The sequence below is a fragment of the Homo sapiens genome, chromosome 3 (genome assembly GCF_000001405.40).
Source record: "Homo sapiens chromosome 3, GRCh38.p14 Primary Assembly".
Taxonomy (NCBI): Eukaryota; Metazoa; Chordata; class Mammalia; order Primates; family Hominidae; genus Homo; species Homo sapiens.
In genome coordinates, this window is record NC_000003.12 from 175,757,596 (window position 1) to 175,779,697 (window position 22,102).

Here is a 22,102-nt window from a genome sequence, read left to right on the forward strand (position 1 = left end):
ATTCTGCATTATAAGTCTTTGGAAAATATACATTATTATAATAAGAGATATGGTTAAGACACTTTGTTTGCTGCTTGTATTTTTTTAAGCATCAGGGACATAGCTGTCACCTTAAGTTACCTTCCTTGATGAGGTATATTCTAGTGGTGGGAATGGGGAAACAGAATGAACAAAGTAATTAAATAAATGTAACGATGTTAGATGTAATAATTGCTGAGGAGAAAAATCAAACCACATTATTAAATCTAGCATTATTAAAAAGTCATAAAGTAGATAACTTAGGGGTTTAAAATATATTTTGTAAATTATTCTATTTACTTTAAAGAAAAATTCAGAAATTAATACAAATTATATGTAAAGAACATAGTTTTGTATAATATAGTAAGCTTTCCCCATTTGTCTTTCTTGGCACTTGCACTGGATACGGAAGACCCCTCTATGGTCTAAATTATGCATCTGGTAAACTTTTTATTATCCGTTCAAAAATATTTATGAACTCAATTTACTTTATCATGCATTTTGAGTAGAAAAGTAGATATTTGTCTGCCCCTGAGTTAAAAATGATTAAACACATCATTTTATTCATGCTAGTAATGTAATTACAGTATACCTTGTGTTCTCATTATGCAAGCCTCAAAGTGTCGATGGTGATAATGTTCTAACTCATATAACAAACTTTAGGACTGAAAGTTTCTGGTTCACTCTTTTGAAATTGTGCTAAGCTATTACTATAGTTATTGAAGGAATACATGTCTGCCGTTCTTTTCCTTAGCTCTATTAATTTATGTTACTATATTAATTTATATATATTAATTTATGTGTGTATACCTATATATACTATAGCAGTGTAAATAGATTAGCTTCGTTTAGACGTATCGGACTCACCTTTATCTCAAAATTGTCACGAATTTGTACTTCATTTATAAAATACCTAAGAAATCATCCTACTTCATGTTTTTTCTTGATAGATAATTCACATTTCTAAAAATGATTGATGCAAACATTTCAAAATTACAATAGGATTTCCACTCTCAATGCTTATAAGCACATTCTTAATGGGGAAGGAAATATTCAAAGTAAAAATTTGAGTTTAAGCTAATGAAAAGTAGATTGATTATTTATAATGATAATTATATAGAGAAAAATAAAATTGTTAATTACATTGTACAAAAGAACATTTGGTGAACAGGGTTCAATTTTTTTTTAATGTTAAACAGTCTTTAGAGATGTTATTCACATAAGAATCTCACTCTCTAACCCACTGGGCATACAGAATTCTCATCTAATACACAAGAAAGAAGTAAAAGATGATTTGCATTTTAAGAAAGTTCTTGACAGAACTTTACTGTGTAAAGCCAAATACTTCATTTTGTATTTAGATCATGTCCCAAAAAAATATCGTCTCAATAAAAGTGACACTAAACACTGGAATATATTATTTTTGGAATACGTAGAATAATATTCCCAATGATCTGGAAACAGAGGATTCAAAATTTTGAATCCTATGATGTTGCATGTAAACCTGGCTCCTCATTGAACGCTGCTCTGTTGCTCTGTGCAATACTGCTGGAAACTGGCAATATAAGATCCCTACCTTCAAGGAGCTTCATCTAATTCAAGAGCTAAAATACATAAATTATATATCAAATACAGGTACAGAATACTTATTCAAAGTGCACAATGAATACTACAGCCAAAAAGTACTTTTGTGATTCAGTGAAGAGAGAAAGTATTGTCTTGTGGTAATCAAGAAAGACTTTTTTTTTTTTTTTTTTCTTTTGAGATGGAGTCTCGCTCTGTCGCCCAGGGTGGAGTGCAGTGGCACAATCTCGGCTCACCACTACCTCCACCTCCGGGGTTCAAGCGATTCTCCTGCCTCTGCCTCCTGAGTAGCTGGGATTACAGGCGCATGCCACCATGCCTGGCTCATTTTTGTATTTTTAGTAGAGACGGGGTTTCACCATGTTGGTCAGGCTGGTCTCAAACTCCTGACCTCGTGATTTGCCTGCCTCAGCCTCCCAAAGTGCTGGGATTACAGGCGTGAGCCACCATGCCCAGCCACAAAAGACTTTATAGGGAAAGTGAAAGATGTATGTGGGCATGAGGGAATGATAGTATGCCCATTAAATTAAGGTGCATTTCCAGGAGGATAGTTTGAAGAAAGACACAAAGGAGAAGTTGTGTGTGGTGTGCTCGAGAGTGAAGTACAAAAGGTAGAGTAGTCTGAATGGTTATTGGGTTAGTGGTTATGGAAAGGTAGGTAAGATCAAGTTGTGGAGTCCCTTAAATGCTCTGTTGAGAGGTTTGGGCTTCATTTTTCATGGACACAAAAAAGCCATGTAGAAATATGTGTTGTTAGGAGGATTTATCTAGTGCTCCTGAGAGGGTGCACTGGAGTCAGGAGAGAGCAGAAACCTTTAGGAAGATTATGGGAGTAGGAAAGGCACGGGGTGAAAAGAACATGATTTGATATGTTGGTGTCAGGAATGAAGAGCAAAGGACCAATTTAGGACGTGATATTTAGGAAGAATTGGCTAATTTAGTGATTGTGTGGCTCTAAGAGTCTCGTTGCAGGTTGTTTTTAGAATTCCTCTAGGTTTAGGTGGGAAAACAGGATTGAGTACTGGAAAGGGCCTCCCCTCTGCCCCATTTACCTGGCCATTTAGGTAAAGCACTATTTGTCTACATGTAATTATATGAAGATCTATGGATAAAGATAATTTCTAAAGTCATTTCCAGCTCTACAGACTATTAAGCCTCACAGCCTCTGTTTTCAAGGGGACATCTAATTCTGAGTAAGGGGAGAGGGAAAGGGCACAAGGATAGACTGCAATGCCATAAATGAAAAAGCTGCAAAGTACCTTGGAAGTACTGAACTTGGTCAGCAATGGGGAGCCAGCAAAACAATATCTATGTTCCGGGACCACGTAAGTGAAAGTATGTTGAAAATTACAAAGCATCACAAAATATCAGTACTATCAAATCCAGCAGTGTGAAATTTGACTTGTTGCTCTTGAGTAGACAGGGGATTATGCATTTTGTTAAGAATTCTAAATCTTGTATCTCACTCCTTCCTTTACTGTCATTCCAGTAGGCAGTGCTCTACCACTCCTGGATACTGGGTGTGTCTGGAGAGGAGATCTCTGGGCATCTGTGTTTTGCCATTAGATCCTTTTTTGCTCCCTGTAGTTATTACTCTACAAAGGCAGAGCAACGAGTCTGCCCTGGTAAACCTGTGCATTCCCACTATAATTTGATTTTCTTAAACAAATTGATAGTCTTTATTTTTTAAAGCAGGTTTAGGCTTAGAAAATAATTGAGCAGAAAGTACGGAATTCTCATATGATTCCTCAGCATCCCCTCTTCCTAGACACAGTTATCCCAATTGTTAATATCTTGCAGTAGTGTGTTGGTACATTTGTTACCATGAGCCAATCTTGATACAAAATTGGTGAGCCAATATTGATACAAACTAAAATGAATAGTTTAATATCAGGGTTTGCTCTTTAGGTTGTACATTCTATGGGCTTTGACAAATGTATAATAATATGTACCCACTGTTGCAGGGTCATATAGAATAGTTTTACTGCCCTAAAAATCTCTTGTGCCCCACCTATTCATTCCTCCCTACTAAACCTCTGGCAACCACTGATCTTTTTACTGTCTCCATAGTTTTGCCTTTTCCAGAATGTCACCTATTTGGAATAGTACAGTATGCAACCTTGTTGGATTGACTTCTTTCATGTAGCAATATGCAGTGCATTTTCTCCGTGTTCATTTCTTTTTATCATTGACTAGTATTCATTTTTGAAGGGCATTTTTGTTGCTTTCAAGTTTTGGCAGTTGTGAATAAAGCTGCTCTACATATTTTGGTGCAGGCTTTTTTGTGGACATACATTTCAATTTATTTCAGCAGATACCAAAGTGTGCAATTGCTGGATAATGTAGTAAGCCTATGTTTAGCTTTGTAGGAAACTGCCAAACTGTCTTTCCAAGGGGCTATATCATTTTTCTTGTCCACCAGTAGTCAATGAAACTTTCAGTTGCTCCACATCTTCATCCGCATTTGTTGTCAGTGTTTTGGATTTTAGCTATTCTAATAGAGGTATGTTGGTATTTCATTGTTGTTTGAATCCGCAGTTCCCCAATGATATATGATGTTTTGCATCTTTTCATATGCTTATTTGCCGTCTATATATTTTATTTGATGTGATATCTGTTCAGCTCTTTCGCCCATTTTTAAAATTGAGGGTTTTTTTCTTATTGTTGAGTTGTTAGACGTATTTTTATATTTTGGACACCAATCCTCTATTAGGTAGATGTTTTACAAAATATTTTCTCTCAGACTATGGCTTTTCATTCTCTTAACAGTACCTCTTGCAGAGCAGAAGTTGTTAATTTTAATGAAATTTGAAAATTAAATCATAATTCAAATCATGCTTTTTGTGTCATACCTCAAAAGTTATTGTCAAACCCAAAGTCACTCAGATTTTCTGTTATATTATCTTCTAGAAGTTTTATAGTATAGCATTTTACATTTAGGTCTATGATCCATTCTGAGTTAATTTTCATGAAAAGGATAAGGTCTGTGTTTCGATTTTTTTTTTTTTTTGCATGTAGATGTCCAGTTGTTCCAGCATTGTTTGTTAAGACTCTCTTTTCTCTGTTGAATTGTCTTTTATTTGTCATACGATATAGTTTTAATATTGCTTTTTGTGATTAGCATCTCACTTCTCCACATTAGAATAGCTTTCAAAATTAAGAATACCAAATAACAATGATATTATAGGAGAGCACTGGACTTGGGATTTTTAAAAGTGGGAAGAGATTTGAGATGAAAATTTGTCTTTTTCTTCTTAAATGATCTGCAGCAAGATAATTAGCATCTCTGAGCATCAGTTTTTCATCTCTAAAATAGATCTCAAAAGATTATTAATATTTCAGACTCTGATAATGTTCTCATTTCCAAAGCTCCCCCATATCGCTATTAACCAAGGGAGACATATTTAAAAATTAAGTGACCCAAGTTCTCTTTCCCCAGAATCACAGCAGTGAAGTATTTCCTTCATGTTTAATTTTCAATATATTGTCCTTCCCTTTATTAAACTTTGCTAATTGCTTGCCAATCGAGGGGTTGCAACATCTTCATAGAAAATAAAGAGTTTGAGGAGAGACATTAAATATGCAGTTAAGAAAAGAGTAAATAAGGGCCAGGCGCAGTGGCACGCGTGTAATCCCAGCACTTTGGGAAGGCCGAGGCAGGCGGATCACGAGGTCGGGAGACCGAGACCATCCTGGCTAACACGGTGAAACCCCGTCTCTACTAAAAATACAAAAAATTAGCCAAGCGTGGTGGCGGGCGCCTGTAGTCCCAGGTACTCGGGAAGCTGAGACAGGAGAATGGCATGAACCCAGGAGGCGGAGCTTGCAGTGAGCCGAGATGGCGCCACTGCACTCCAGCCTGGGGGACACAGCAAGACTCTGACTCAAATAAATAAATAAATAAATAAATAAATAGTAAATAAAATATCTAAGTAGCACTAGCTTTCAAAATAAATCTTGGGACTCTAAATGACAAACTTTTTCCAGTAGAAAAGACTTCTCTCTAATCACTTTCTTTAGGTGTTTGGGGAGTACTGTTGTAAGCATCATGGTCTTCTGGGGCATATTCTCCTATGTTTTAACTTTTGACATTTAAACTACATTTTAGATTTTGGCATCAACCATTTTGTGGTTGAAATTTAATATCTTTTAAAAAAATGCTTCTTCCTAGATTCTTTTAGCAAATTTCAGCAAGATTTCCAGCCTTGTCAAAAATTACTCCAATGTTTAAGGTTATGAGTCCTTGAGGCTACTGTTGTGTCTCTATCTCCTTTCTTCACTCACCCATACACTAGCTTACATAGTCTTAAAATGAGAGAGCAATAATTATTGTCCTCTCTTTTATTTAAAGTGATTGGACTAAACTGAACAGAAACAGAAAGATCTTTGATTTTAATCTTTTAGTATACAAATAGAAAGCAATGGGATTTCAAAACTGCTCCACACAAAAATATAATGACAAAGGATTTCTATTAATACACCACTAATAACATGTGTGTAAGGTATATGAACATGACCCCACATTTATACATTAAGAGGGCACATCTCCATAAAATCTCATCTTTATTCTCTCTCCACATTTAAATGAGATAGCAGTTAAACAGCAATAAGGGTTTCCCTTCCTCCCCATTCTAACACACACACACAAAGACACTGCTGCATTACTGTGGTGAGATAGGTTTATAGGGAAATTTTACAAAAGGATAGGAAATTTGGTGTGGCTTTGGAAAAGAGAATCAGAGATTCACTCTTTCATTTGGATTGATTTGAAAGGCATGAGAAATCAAGGGAGCAAACATGAGCCAGTGTCTAATTCTGGCTGCTAGATAGAAATAGGACTCTTAGGAAAAGTGAACATCCTCTAACACCACCATTAGAGATGAATTAAAGGCTAATTATTTAAATTAACCTTTATTTTATTATTATTAAATTATTTTAATTATATTTAAATATAATTAAATTTAAATATAATTAAAACAAAACTATTGATTATGGTCCAGTATCCCATTTTTCATTCTTATGTATGGTATTTCAGCTACATCTTGGCTAAGCAGACTATAGGGACTATCTCAGTAACTACACTTATATGATTGTTTCTTTGGGAAAACACTTCTGAGTTCCAAACAATGGCATAATCAGGAGTTTGGAGAGCACAGCCCATTTGTAATTTGAGGGACAGTATATGTATGTGTATATACATGTGCATGCCTTTGTGTGTCTCTGACATTGTGTCCTTATGGAAGATGTCACAGCAGGTTCATAACAAAGGAAATTATTTCAGAGATTGCCAGAATGACCTTGTGGAAGCTCAGGGGACCATTTCAAGCTAATCCAAGCCAAGACCATTTTTTTTTTTGTTAGCATCCTTGAAAGCAGAAAAATAGCAATGTAAATGTCAAGATGCTTCTGCCTTTAACCAAGAATAAAGAAAGCAATCCACTAAAAGTACTTTTCAAACACATAAGCTCCCAAAACTTTGCTTTTGAAAGATGTTAGAACCAGTTTATATTTAGGCAAGCAATGAAATGAGACGGAACTATTAAAAAGCCACATTTCTCAGGTATTATATGATCAGTTTCCAGCTACATATTCAGTACATACATAATTTTAAGAGGTTGAAACCCAAACCCCCCAAATCACTACAGAATAACAATGATCTCATTATACAGTTTTCATGGTGTTTTAATTAGAGTTGGTTATGTAAGTCCCAAAAGGACCTCATGTTCCGTGTTTGATTGGGATAATGACTACTTTGTTCAGGTTGTACTTTCTTTTAGTGAGGTGTGGGTGGTCTGAATGGAACTAAAATCCCACCATTGTTTTTCTTGTCATTAATTCTATGAGCAATGCCTCTGATTTCTTTAGACTATGAAAAAAAACAGTGATTAAGAATTACCATAATGCTTTTAACATATTTTAATAGCGACCACTTGCACAAAAGAATCTATGTATGCATACAAAATTTTATAATCTATACAATGACAATGTAAAATTTCCAAAAGAAGGTTGAAGACCTGGCTCATATAAAAAATCTTTGTAACGCTGATCATTATATACATTCCCTTTTACCCTTTTATGAATAAATACATACACTAGTTTTATAATTATGTGTCCCTTTAATATTTTTAAAGTTTCCATTTCTAAAAGGAGCAGAAAAGCCCCCAAATTTTAAGAAAAACCAGATTAATATGCCAAAATTCAAGCCTCATTTTTTTCACTCATTTTGTCAATATTAGAACAAAGAACATACCTCATTTTAACAGACAACATTCAAATACAATTTGATTAGACATTTAAAAACTTGTTTTAAAAATTTCAGTTGACAATGAAATAAGGATAATTAGTCTGAGATCCAGTCTGCTGGTATCAAAATAGAAATACTTGTGTGTATAACTGTTTGGATTTTATAAAAATGTTTCTTTCAGTTTTAAGGTGTATTCTCATTTAAAGTGAGAAAAAATTACTGTTGTCATATTTGCAAGTCAAGACCCATTGCCAGTCTGAGGGTGAGTTTTGACTTGATGATGCATTGAATAATTAAGACTAACAATAACAACAATACTTTCCATAGAGGATGATTTATGTATGCCAGGCACTGTGCTGCACATTTTTCATGTATTATTTGTAACACTTCTAACAATCCTGCCAGATTGGTCTTATTATTCCCTTTATACATATAAGAAAACCGAGGCTTAGGAAAAGTTAACATGCGGCAGAAATGGGATTCAAACCTAGTTTGTTTTCTCTAAAAACCACCACTCTTTCTACTAGACAATACTGCATACATTTGATCCAAATTATCCCTAGTTTGCTCAGAAATCACCAATAAATTTAATGAGATTATAGTGTTAATATAGCCAGATATGTATAGATTACGTTTTTCACATTTCAGAGTTACATCCCCTAACTTGATAGTGACAAAATTGCATCTGTGAGACACCAAATATATCCCTACTTCTGGATAAGAGATATGCCTTATTGTCCTGAATCAATAAAATTATCTTGTCTCAAAATAGTGTCTATCCCTTCATGTTTCCGTAAATCTTAGATGTAATTTAAAAAGTAGGCATATTTGTCTGCTAAGTCTCATATACTATACTTAAAATGTTTTTACATAAATAACAATATAGTATAGAGGGGGGCTCAGTAGACGGGGATCTTAGAGTTGTGGGCTGAAGACACCAAAAGACTCCAGAATAAGTCACTTAACTTCCATGACATTTATTCTCTAATCAATTAAGTAAGAAAAGATAAACTAGTGAATCTCTAAGGTAATGAAAATATTAGCTGATGAAGTATTCATAACTAATACAAATTTACTTCCATATTTTTAAATGCATTTCAGGGAAATAATTCAATGGGGGAAGAAAAATAATGAAATCTAGGTTCCCTATGAAATCATGTTAGACATTTTAGCATTTGTTTCTCTCTCCTTTATTTTATCTGCTATTTTATTGTATTTTTATGTGTATAAATATCTTTCTGATTTAATATGATCCAAAGAGAATTAAGAGAAAGGATCATGCTGAGTATTTTCTTTGTACTGAAGCACCTAAAACCTCATTTTGCTACATAATGAAACTAAAGTTTCCAATTGCTGTGTAAATCGTGTGTTTAGGAGATGAAATGCTCAGGAATCATTTTGCACTTGACATTTTCTAGATTTTGAGTAGCAAAATTTTCTTCTTATAATAAGAAAGTAGATCTGTAAGCCACAAAAAAAATACGGAGCAAGTATAGCATATTGAGATGAAACACAAGGAAAGGACAGGGAGCCAATAGGCACGATTCTATAAAGCACACATTTAGTCCTGTACACCATCCCCAGTGGAATCTTTTGTTCAAATGAAAGCTTACATGAGCTACACTAGTTGACAAGGAAAGGAATATGAATGTTGCCTCTTTTTCCACAGTCACCTCGGAGGAGTACATGATTTGCCAGCCACTACACTTGAGTGTGCTGCTTAACCAGTCTGCTTGCTAAAAACACAAGACTACAGCATTTTTAACTGATTAAAAAAAATAGGTCTATAAATATATAATCATACTTAGTTTAGATCAAGTTGGAAGTTTATAAGGGCAATAATGGATGAAATGGGAAGTACTCACCCCATAGTCTATAATTAGAGCTAAATTTAATACATGATTTAATGTGCAATTGATATAATCCTTAAAAAACTGCAACAAACCCTCAAATTACATATAGTGAGGTTCTAGTATTTCCTCCCAGTCTACCTTTATCTGACAAGTTTCAATGAGAAAGTTAGAAGGCAATCTAGATATTCAAATTAGGAATAATTTGAATAGAATTCTAAGTTTGTATGTGCATTAGAAGTGTTGAAGATATAAAAGTGAAGGAAATGCTCACTTTGGTATCACATATAATAAAATTGGAATGATACAGAGATTAGCATGGCCCTTGCGCAAGGATGACATGACAATTCATGAAGTGTTCCATATTATTATAAATAAAAAATGTATATATTTTAAAGTCAAGGAAGCTTGAAGTTTCCTTAGCTTTCTTTAAGCTAAGTTTCATAGAATCAAGAACTACTAGAACTGAAATAGAACCTTCAGTGACAGTTCCAGCCGCCTGCAGTTCTCAGGCAGGCAACTTCCAGCAGCTCTCGGAGAAATTCTATGAATCTCCTTCTGACATTTGCCTGTTTATCTGCCTGAAACCGTTGCTGAAGAAAGCAGATTCGGTTCTACTTCTGCCTTCCAAATCCTGCATGATGACTGTTGCAAATTTTGTATCTTTTACTGCACTTCGAAAAATGTTTGTTGACTAATTTATCCAGAGAAACTTTCTTGGTCCTTTATGCCATTGTCCCTGGATCTTAAAAGAACCGGGACCTGACTTGTGCCATAATTGGTCATGGTGGGGTTTTATTGGGGTTTTGTCGGCCCACACCGGGTTTTACTGGGATTGTTCCATGTATAATACGTGTCCATATCAAACAATGGTTAGGCTATCAGGATACTGCCTATGAGAATTTTAAGAACTAAATAAAACTCGTGTACCAGGCACTTCATATACTCGATGCATATCTCTGGTCTTCACAATACCTTATGTAATAATTGTTGGGGCTGGTAATTTTACCAGGCCTTTCTTGTTTCAAAGCCATCTCTCTCTCTCCGTGTACTCCCAGGGCCTCTGTATACACTTTTTTGATCTATCAGATTACTCATCCAGGTAGATGTTTTCCCCATTGTGTTGGTAAGGGCTCTGAAGTTCAGAAACATTAGTTTTTTTTCTTCAAAGTTACCAGAGATGGTAAATTACATAAACTGGTTAAGGGATAGAACCTGTTTGCAGCCATTCTGAATTTTATTTTAAAAAACAAATTCGGCCAGGCATTTGTTTTTTGACAAACAAAAGTGGCTCGCGCCTGTAATCCTGGCACTTTGGGAGGCCAAGGTGGGCAGATCACTTGAGGTCGGGAATTTGAGACCAGCATGGCTAACATGGCGAAAGCCCGTCTCTATTAAAAATACAAAAAAATTAGCTGGGCATGGTGGTGCACCCCTGTAGTCCTAGCTTCTCAGGAGGCTGAGACAGGAGAATCAGTTGAACCTGGGAGGCAGAGGTTGCAGTGAGCTGAGATTGGTCCACAGCACTCCAGCCTGGGTGATAGAATGAGACTTTGTCTCAAAAAAAAAAAAAAAAATTGTAGTAACTTCACAGAAAGGAGTGGTATAAAAAGAAGATTTAAAACTGAGTTTGAATAAAATGATCATATTGTGAACCAAAAGAGAAGCAGAATATATTTTATCTTACACATACAAAAATGGATATTTAATATTTGCTATTACTCCTATCTAGACTGTAAGATTAATGCCTATGGCTTGGGTAATATTTTGTTTCTTGCATTTCCTGATTCTCTTTTTAATCTTACTACCTTTCTTACCTGTAAGTTAGAATTTGATGTCACTTTTTCAAAATACTTATCTAAAATTACTACTGATTCCATTATACTTATTAATTCAGCAAGTACGCAGTGTCTACCATAGGCAGAACTGTACCAGACACTGAGAATACAATGCTCAAAAATATAAATATCAACCTTACCCTTTGGGACTTTACTTTCTATTGGGAAGGAACACAGAATAAGCAGACAAAAGACCAAATAAATATGTAATCACAAACTTTACAATTGTCTTGAAGGAAAGAAACATAACCTTTTCCTTTAAGGTAGCTAAATAGATTTGGGGATTAACTTGGGCTGAGACTGAAAAATCAAACAAGGGCCTAGAGGCCATAGAGAGGGGTTAAGCATTATTTTCAGGGCCTTTAATATCTCATTATAGGTAGATTGTAACATACTTTTTATCTATTTATGTATAATCTATCATCATGTATTCTGTATATCTCTAATTGCTATGTAGAAAACAGATTTTAGAGGTAATGGAAAAAACGGAAAAATTAGAAATGATGTGGTCTTTTAATAATCTAGGCATGTCAGTCAGGATTTTCCAGAGAAACAGAACAATAGGACAATAGGAGATGGCATGTATATGTGTGTGCATGTGTGTGTGTGTCTGTGTGTATGTCTCTGTGTGTGTCTGTGTGTAATTTTAAGGAACTGGTTCATATGAATGAGGAGGTTGGCAAGTCTGAAATCTGTGGACAATGAAGGCTGACAGCTCAGGGAAGAGTTGATGTTATAGTCTTGACTCCAATATCTGTAGGTGGGCTGTAGCAGGCTATAAATTTAGTTAGAATTTCTATGTTATATTAATAGTCTAAGGCAGATTTTTTTTTTCTTGTTCAGGGTGCCTCATGTTTTGTTTTGAGGCCTCCAACTGATTAGATGAAGCCTACCCACATTATCAAGGACAATTTCCTTTAAAGTCAACTGATTATAAATGTTAATTAACATCTGTAAGACACCTTCACAGCAACATATGGACTAGTGTTTGAACAAACAACTGGGCAGTATTGCCTCACTACATTGACACGTAAAATTAATCATCACAGAGATCATGTTGGTGGGAATGCAAATATCGAGAAGATTAATTTGTAACATTTCAGACATATAATCTACAAAAACTTGGTGATGGATTAGGTATGAGGATGAAGGTGAGGGAAGAAATCAAGAATAACAGGTCTTTCCCATGAGCAGTGGATTTTAACAGCTATGATGTAGAAAGAATGAATCTTTTCTAAATGGGATTCTGCTGACTTCAGCTCAAATAATATGATTGACAAGGCGAGATTACTTTTGTTATGCATTTTAAATGACTAAATAATCTTGAGAAGAAGGTCTGTTTGTGTATGTCTAGTTATATTTGGCTAATCCTAATGTAGACTAAAAATTTGCCTTGCCTTCTCTTTCTCATCCAAAATAATTGCATGCAAATAGTAATCTACTCTTTATGCAATAATGTGAAATGGGAGGAAACATGGCCAAATATTTCTGGAAGGGATAGCCTTCAAATGTGCCAGGTACAGTGCCTCCAATTTTTTTATTGCTAATCATAGTAGGTCTCATCTTCTAATCAAAGCTTACATATGCTACACCAGGGAGTTTGGATGATATGCTAACTCAATCTAATTTTACACAATATAATTCAAAAGCCAATAAAATGTAGCCTTGTTAGACACAAAAGTTTTAGAGGGAAGAATGTAATATAGGCACCAAATGTTAAGTATCCTCTCTGCAGGTGGTTTGTACATTTCCTGTGTTTCCAATTTCTCTTTTCTTTTCTTAACCATGAAATTAAATAGATAGCTTTGAACAACTAAAGAATAGAAATGTTTTCAAAGCTGATTCATAATGCCATCTTTTTTCCTGAAATAGAATATCACATGGGTGAATAGAAAGTCATTTCAGACATAGAGAGTTAAGAATTAAATATGTAGTAAAATATTTTTCTAGATTAACTACTAGAGGTTGATGAGTACCTATGCTTCATTTTATTTCAGAAAATGTTTGCCCTTTTATTTTATGTATTTATTATTATAAGTCACAATTGAAAGGCTTGATAATCCATAAAATCATATTTTCCAAAGCCAAATTGTTAATGTTGCATACAATTTCGATTAGGTGTAGACAGGTTCCATTTATCTTAACTCATTAGTGTTATGTTATATTAGTAGATTTTCTATGTAGATTAAACTTTCTCTACGTAAATCAAAGGTTTTGTGATTCCCATTTTACTTATTTCATAAAATTTTAGTATCTATTATGTAAAAGGCATAACCTAAATGTATTAGTTTCCTGTGGCTTTCATAACAAATTGCCATAAATTAGGAGGCTTAAAACAACAGAAATTTATTCCTTTCCATTTCTGGAGGCCAGAAGTCTGAGATCAAGAGGTCAGCAGGGCCATGTTTTCTCTGGCTCTAAGGGAGAATCCGTTCCCTGTGGCTGTGGCATTCCCTTGTTTGTGACCACATCACTCCAATCTTTGCCTCAGTCTTCACATGGCCTTCTCGTCTTTGTGTATCTGTTTAATCTCTCCCCATCTCTCTTTTACAAGGAGACTTGTGATTGGATTTAGGGCTCATTCACATAATACAGGATAATCTCCTTATATCAAAATCCGTAATCACATCTGTATTAGTCTGTTCTCATACTGCTAATAAAGATATACCCAAGACTGGGTTATTTATAAAGGAAAGAGGTTTAATTACTCACAGGTCAGCATGGCTGTGGAGGCCTCAGGAAACTTATACATAGCAGCAGCAAGAAGCACCCAGCAAAAGAGGGAAAAGGCCCTTATAGAACCATCAGATCTCCTGAGAACTCACTCACTATCATGAGAACAGCAAGAGTTAACCACCCCATGATTCAGTTACCCTCTACTGGGTCCCTCCCAAGACATGTGGGGATTATGGGAACTACAATTCAAGATTTGGGTGGGGACACAGCCAAACCGTATCAACATCTGCAAAGACGCTTTTTGCAAATAAGGTAGCATTTACAGGTCCTAGAGATTAAAATCTGGATGTATCTTTGCAGTCAACATTCAGCTCAATGCACCAGATAATACAGGGAATATGAGTGTAGATTAGACAATGGCTTTCTTCTGAATAGATGTGCTAGTTTATTCAGCTTTATTTATTTTTTTTTTTGTTGCAATCCCAACCTTGTATACCATCTTGTGTTAACCTGGGACTAGGACTCTACAAACTGCATTTTCACTTTGCCAGTTGACTCCCTGATAAACTACAATAAGAAGCAGTAAAAGAAAGCTGGAAGTCAGGAGGAGGAAGAAAAGATGCTTCTATCTACAATTTGTTCCTGTTTTTGCTTTCTTTTCCTGTCATTGTCACCCTAACAAGCTTCTTCACCTAAGTAGTGACAGTTCATTCTAGTAGTAGAAGTTAGCACTGATTTTCACTTTTTCCAAAATTAGTTAAATCAGACTCACAATACTCATCAGAGACACCAGCGCGAGCGGACTAAAGTCCTTCCTCATAGGTCTGGGGTCCAGTTACACAGGGTTCCGTCTTTGATCTCAGAGACATCAGTTATAGCTAAGCAGTGGCCGCTATTCAGAGGCCTGAGTTTCAACTTCACAGGACACTTCCTTTGAGCTTCTCAGCTTTAATAATTCCAAATATTTCCATTCTCCAACCCTAGGAATAGTAGATCCTTCCCGCTGTTGTAACCTAACTTCTGTGACATTTTAGTGTTACTTCTGTGACATTTTAGTGTTTCTTCTGCAACATTTTAGTGTTTCTCCGTGCCTTAGAATCTAAAATACATATAAAATATCTTCAACAATAACTGCCAAAAAGGTGAAGAAATAGATACAGAGAAATCGAGGAGTAAAAGGTTTGTGTTATTGTTCTTTTCAGCTGGGGTAGGATTTAGGCATGTATCCTGGTTAACAGGTAGATGGTACTTAAGCAGGATCTTATAATTAGTAAACTCCAGTCTTCAGGAGATGGTAATGAGAAAGTGGAAGGGTATTTCTCAAGAAAACCTTACTGAAAGGTATCACAGTTGTTATGTTTCTCAAAATCTACTTAAATAACATTTAACCTTCTCTTGTTGATTGAAGGTCAAGTTATATATTCTTTTATAATACAATTGAGTCCTCAAAGAGTGTCATTTGCCTCTATGACAAAATAACTACAGATGGTTTGCTGCTGAAAACTAGAAAAATGAATGAATAGTTTAGTTTTCTGTTATTTCTTTTTTTCATTTCTGTATTTTTATTGGTTACTTCTAATTGATATCATTGTGTCTAGCTGCTGGAACCTGCTGGTGATTGCTTCAGTTATTCAGTTTTCTTCTACCTCTCTTAAGGGACAGTCTGTTGGGCTTTGTGAGTTATTTGCCCTTCCAAGTGCTATTTAAGGTTATTTTAATTTGATTGCAGTGTTCAGGAAGCATGACCTCAGAATAAGTAGTAATGTTACTGTCCATAAATAAAGTCCTCTTGATCGTAGCTCTCTTTCTGGTACAGGAGAGTATAATTTTAACTTTTCATGTAGTTCAGGGGTATTCATCTTAAAGTGATAATCAGAAAAACGTTTGCTGAGAGATCTTTGAGACTTCAATGTTTTTGGCTTAACAGGCCAATATCTAAGTTTCTCTAAAATGAACACTTGTTATAAGATCATAAAAAATATGGCAGTAAACACTAGCTATTTGCTACTGATTGAAAAGCAATGAGTTGACATAAGTGAATTCTGCCATTAAGATTCACTGAATTTGAGACCATGAAGCCAACTATATAGCCACTCTTCCCCCATATAACATATGTGGTTTATTGTGTCCACACAGTCTCTTTTCAGAGATTGTAAATTATATTATTTATGAACTCTTGATGACTGAAACACAATTGGAGCTTGAAGGTCAAGGCAGCAAACTACATCCTAAATTCCTATTTATTGATGATGTATGGTACAGTTAGTAGTATACTTTGTGCTGCTACAATTAAAGCTCTGTCAGTGTTTCTAATACACACTATTATTTTAGGGTTTGATAACATGACCACTTATCTTTACTCTGATTTACATGATGAAAGGCCTCAGCAGTGGGAGGACATCTTCAAGTTCTTTTAACAAGACTATAAGATATTTATATGCTTTCCTTGATACTAAAATTCTAAACATTAAGATTTATGGTAAGCTAGACATAAACAAGACCTCTACGCAGGCAGCATACAGCCAAAAATGTTTGACTTATATGAATGTTAAGAAATACATTGTTATTTCAGACTTCCATTTCATTACCTATATTCATTTTAAAAGAAAAAGTTAAACAAAAATTTTTTAAATCCTTATTTTTTAAAAATACCTGGCTTATTCCTACTACTCCCTTATGAGATGTCTATAAAGAGTATACAGAGCCTAACAACATAGTAAAGTAGATATAAGTAGTTATAAGCCTGACTCATTGGTTTGTTTGCAGAAAAAAAAAATAATTCTAAATAATTTTTTTAAGGAACTCAATTAGCTGTTAGTTAAAAAATACCCTGTGGTTGTGTGATCTGGACCTATATAGATCTATGCTGCTCAATGTGGTAGCCACTAGCAATGTGTGGCTACTGATAATATGAAATGTAGTTAGTGAAAATTAAGATGTTAAGTATAAAGTGTGCATTTGATTTTAAGACATACTACCGAAAAGTAAAAATAAAGTGAAAATATAACATTAATAATTTTTATATTGATTCATGTTGAAATTATAATATTCAGCAAATAATAAAATGACTTCATTGATTTCTTTTTTATGTAGTTTAATGTACTACTAGAAAATGTAAAATTATACATGCAACTTACCTTATAGTTCTACTTTATAGTGTTTCTGTAGATGTTCCCAAATATCCCACATTTTTCTTATAGATGATATACCCCATTGACTTGAGTTGACTCAAAGTAGGATGTTTGGCTTATGACATATCTAAGATATGATCAGAAAGTAGTAAGGCCTTTTTTTTTTTTTTTTTAGAAATTCTCCATTACCCCAACTGTGGTTGGTGATGTTGTTACAGGTATCTGTGATAGTGGATGGCAAATATAGAAGCGGGAAGATGTAAAAAGGAAAAGTAAATATGGGAGTCCATAGGAGTGAGTGTCTGAGACATTAAGTAAAACAAAACAAAACAAAATTCAAACATAAAATATTTGTTGAATGTAAATTCGTTCATCTGTCATACTTAATATAGAAAGGGAATATTTTCTTTATCCTTGAATAATATTATTTTCAGATGAAATTACTTGTAATAATAGTAGTTATTACTCAAAATTCACCTTATAGCTACTAAACTTCTGCAACTATAATCTGATTTCTCTAAAGCCTCATTAAAACAAACAAATGAACAAACAAACTGCTATTTGCTTCATTCATAAATTCATTAATTCAGCAAACATTTATGTGCCTATTCTATTCTAGGCATTATGCTTGAAACTAGATGATCAAAAGGTAAAGTACTTCCTCTTTCAAGTCTCATTAGATGTTTCCTTAGCATTCTTTTGCCAATTTGCGAAGTCTGTTCGCCTGAATTCATCTAAGTCTGTGATCATGGATGAAATTGCTTTGGGCACCCCATCAGAAAGAATCACTGAACCCTAACCCCAATGTGTTATCATATACAGATACCACAAGAGTCAACGGAGAAGCAATAATGTGTTAACATCACAGGAGTCCTCCTGGGCTAGAAGAGTTGTAGCAGTGGTTAGGCAGGACACTGCCACACTTGTAGTATTAGTGGAAAATAGCAAATAAATTCTATTAATAGAATTGAGTCATAAAGTATTTTAACTGAGCCAGCTACAGGAGCTTTCTGTCTTTTTTCATCCCTTTATGTCTTACCGTCTGTATCCTTTTCTCCCTCACTTCCGTCTAAGAGTAAAAGCGATTTTTTCCAAAGCTAAGTTGGTCACCTCTATTCTTGCCTCCTTCTTCTCCTACCTTATGGCCTTGCTCTGTCAATTTTCAGAACTCTTCTCACCTTCATTTCTACACATTATCAATCGTTTTGGTTGCTGCAGTGATTTCTGCCCTCTGATTTGAAAACATACTTCCAAGGCCTATGTTAAAACAAATCAGACATTCTCCCCTCAACTCTTTCATATTACTGTCCTCTCCTCCATTTGACATACCTCCCCAGTAGCCTGTTCCCTTGCTGTCTTTCATCCTGTGTCGCTCATTCATTCTTTCAACCTGTAACATTGGCTCTCCTTCCCCCATCCAACATTCTAATTCTCTTATTGTTCTTACATTCTAATTCTCTTATTGTTCCAACAACTGCCATTCAGAAAACAGAGTCTTTTTTTCCCCCCAGTGCTTATTTGTTTGGACCTCTCTGACCAATTCTTTTATGGAAACTATCGAGTCCCATTCTTAGTAAAGTGAATACAACTTAAAATCTGTCTTCAACTGCTTAATTTTATTTTAGCAGATTTCCCCTTTCATTTACCTGTTGCAGTCCCTTTACATTAAGAAACAGTTATCCCAAAGTCTGCATCTCGAAGACTGGACTCTGATCCCAATTTTGCTTAATAAAAATTCTTCAAGAAATTTTGTAGAAAGTCTGTCAATGATTAAATCTCAATTCATGATTTTTTTCCCTCTATCAAAAGGGGCAGACATTTAACAGAGATACAGTGGATAAGAAGGGAATAGAGTCGGAGTTTATGAGGCACATATCTGAAGGTTATATTCTTTATTTTTATATTTTTGCTTTTGGAACAATGTCTTTATTATGCTCAGAAAATACCTGCTGGTTCAACCCTAAATTGTTACATTAAAAGAGATACAGATTTAAATGTTTAGGGTGGGTGGATGAGTGCTTAATATCTATAATAAACTGACTACATTGTTAGAAAACATTCTCAGGCAACTATCTCATACTATCTAACTTGACTTTGAAAGGGAACCAGTGTCATGGAGTAAGGAGGAAAATTTATTTGCCGTCTTCTGATTGATGAAGCTGTGAATTTTTGTCAGTTTGGGGATTGCTACACTCTGGCAAGTTGGAAAAGGTCTATTTTGTTGTTTCTTTCAGAAGCTTTTTTTCTGTCATCTGTGAGTTTCAAATTTAGCTCCTGTTGGAATATTGTTTTAAAATAAATCCAAAAGCAGTTAAGATATTGAAATTAAAACCCTTTCGATAATGTACTTTTCTAAATCCTGACTCTACTACTCAAGGGCTATGTGATGTTAAGCTAACCTCTCTGTGCCCCGTTTCCTTCTCTATAAAATGGAAATAATAATAGTACCTATGACATTAAGTTATTTTGAGGATTATATGCATTAAAATATGCAAAATGCTTGGAATATGGGGAAGCCTATACTAAATGTTCAAGTATTAGCAGTTATTACTTTTATCACTGTTAATTTATGCAATCAAATTTATTTAGTATCTACTGTTTGGAAACCTGGAGAAATACACAATGAACGAGAAACTCGTGTTCTTCAAGAGCTTTGCCAAGAAGAGATAAGTATCTGTCAGAGTTACAAGGGTATGTGACTAGTGCTATGATAAAACCATCAGCCTCTGTGGTTGCAGTCAGAATAAATCAACAAACTCTGCCTAGGGTTGTTGGCAAAACATGAGTTGTTGGACTCTGAACTGTGTTAAATTAGTACTGTAGTTTATCCAGACCACAAAAGTCTTTCATCAGTATCTCTGAGAGTCAGTAGCTGGATCTCCTCCCATACTCCAAGTCAGAAAATGTAGAACTTTTTCTCAATGTGGAACTTTTTCTCAATAATTTACCGTGATCCTTTAAAAATTACAAAGAATTTGCTTCTCTCAACCTACTGATGAACTTCAAGACACATTTTCTCTAATAGTTAAAATACGTTTAGCATAATGTTTTCATACGCAGTCTGTGTGTCTGTGTGTATACCACTACTATTGGCTGTCTGATTATTCTGACCTGCATACACCTTTTAAAATAATCTTTCTTCTTTGTGACTAACATATGTCTGGCTAGAAAACCAACACCTTCCTATCTAAAGCAATATAAAATCTAAAGTTATTTGGTGGGGTTGAATTACTAGGGATGTGGAGGAAGGGAGTTGTTCCCTGTGAAGCACAGTCCAGAGTGCCAGATAGATTTTTCCTGGTTTGACCATAAGAATATATACAGAAAAAAAGTAGCACTAGGAAAGTAGAGTAGTTACAGAAAAGGGAATGGGTGGCATTTTCAATTAGTTAATGGCGTGGTCAAATATAAAAGGACAGCTAGTTTATTTGTATAGACTCTTACAAGGCATGATATGTACTTGGCCTAGCAGTGTCCTATAGAAGTGGTCTCTCCCTTGTTCCGGGAAAGTTCCTTTTGGAAAAACTCTTTCCTGGGCAGGAGATGTCATCTGATGGTCTCACAGCTCTGTGTTACTAAGGACAAAGTCAGTTGAGAATTATGGGGCTGTGGGATTATGTCCCCAAGGAAGCAAAATGCAAACATCTCAAATAATAGCATAAGTAACACATATAAAGCTTTTTATTGTATATGTCAGACACTGTGCTAAGCACTTTACATGTTTCAGCTCATGTAATTATTATAAAAACTCTAGGTTGTAAGGACTAATATTTTCCATTTTACAAGTGGGGAAGAAGAGTTTCAGAGTTAAATAACTTTAATGTGCTCTAGATCATGGAGAGAGAGAATGGTGGTGATGGGCCAGGAAGCTTGTCTTGTACGGGTAAGGGAGGCAAAATTTATTCTCTACCCTCCAAGGGCTTCTTGCTGAGCCTAGGAATTAAATTTACCTAAGGCAGATTAACAGGAGAAAAGCATATGAGTTTTATTTAGTAATTTTTACATGTACCTGAGAGCCATCACACACACACAAAAAAATGAAGACTCAAAGAAATGAAGTTGAATGCTTATATATTAGGCTGAACAAAGAATAGTAAATTGTGGAAAAGCGGCAAGACAGAGGGGTGTGGGCTAGGGCAGTTAGTTGTGGAAAAGTGACTAGGAAGATAAGATTGGCTTGTTAGTTCAACAAGATTTATTTGTGTAGATTTTTGTCAGCCTCCACTTCCCTAGTGATAAGCATGTCTTTCACATAGGAATTTAATCTCCTGCTTTCAGGAAGAAAAAGGAAGTTCAGAGTGCACTTCTTGCATCTGCTGTTTTTCAAATGTTTTTTACTCTAAATAACAAATAGGCCAAAGCAGCCTATCTGGGGGCAGTGTATTTTGATCTCTTACATGGGAAACAGCATGAACTGTACACTTAGATGAACATAATTTTGATACTGACCACCCAGTATTTTCTTCTTATTTTTCCCTCTCTGTTATTGATATTACTTTTTAGATGTAATTCATTTTTTTTTCAAAATGTTTACTTCTTTAAAGTGTTCTTCCTACCTCAATAGGGCAAAAATTATAATGTATTCTTCATAGCATTAAGCATATAAACTTCAGTATTCAGGTGAACCTCACACTATGCTTTCAAGTAGGATAATTAGTGGTATGAGTAGTATTTCTGTAAATAAAGTTTTATTTTGATGAAGCAAATATGCAAATTAAGATTTGGGAATATCATGGGAATACAATGAAAATTAAGGTTTCT

General features: G+C 34.9%; 1 protein-coding gene, 1 long non-coding RNA gene and 1 pseudogene across 22 annotated transcripts in view; 2 read left to right on the plus strand and 1 right to left on the minus strand.

The window, feature by feature from the left end:
• Positions 1-22,102, plus strand: part of NAALADL2 (N-acetylated alpha-linked acidic dipeptidase like 2) — a 1,369,567-nt gene that overhangs the window by 1,316,614 nt on the left and 30,851 nt on the right. The window lies entirely within an intron of this gene.
• RNU6-1317P (RNA, U6 small nuclear 1317, pseudogene) lies at positions 9,963-10,066 on the plus strand (annotated as a pseudogene).
• On the minus strand, positions 15,983-18,738 carry NAALADL2-AS1 (NAALADL2 antisense RNA 1). Its single transcript, NR_046714.1, has 3 exons — positions 18,671-18,738; positions 17,348-17,563; positions 15,983-16,069 (listed from the first exon to the last, which is right to left on the minus strand). It is a non-coding gene; the product is annotated as an NAALADL2 antisense RNA 1 (long non-coding RNA).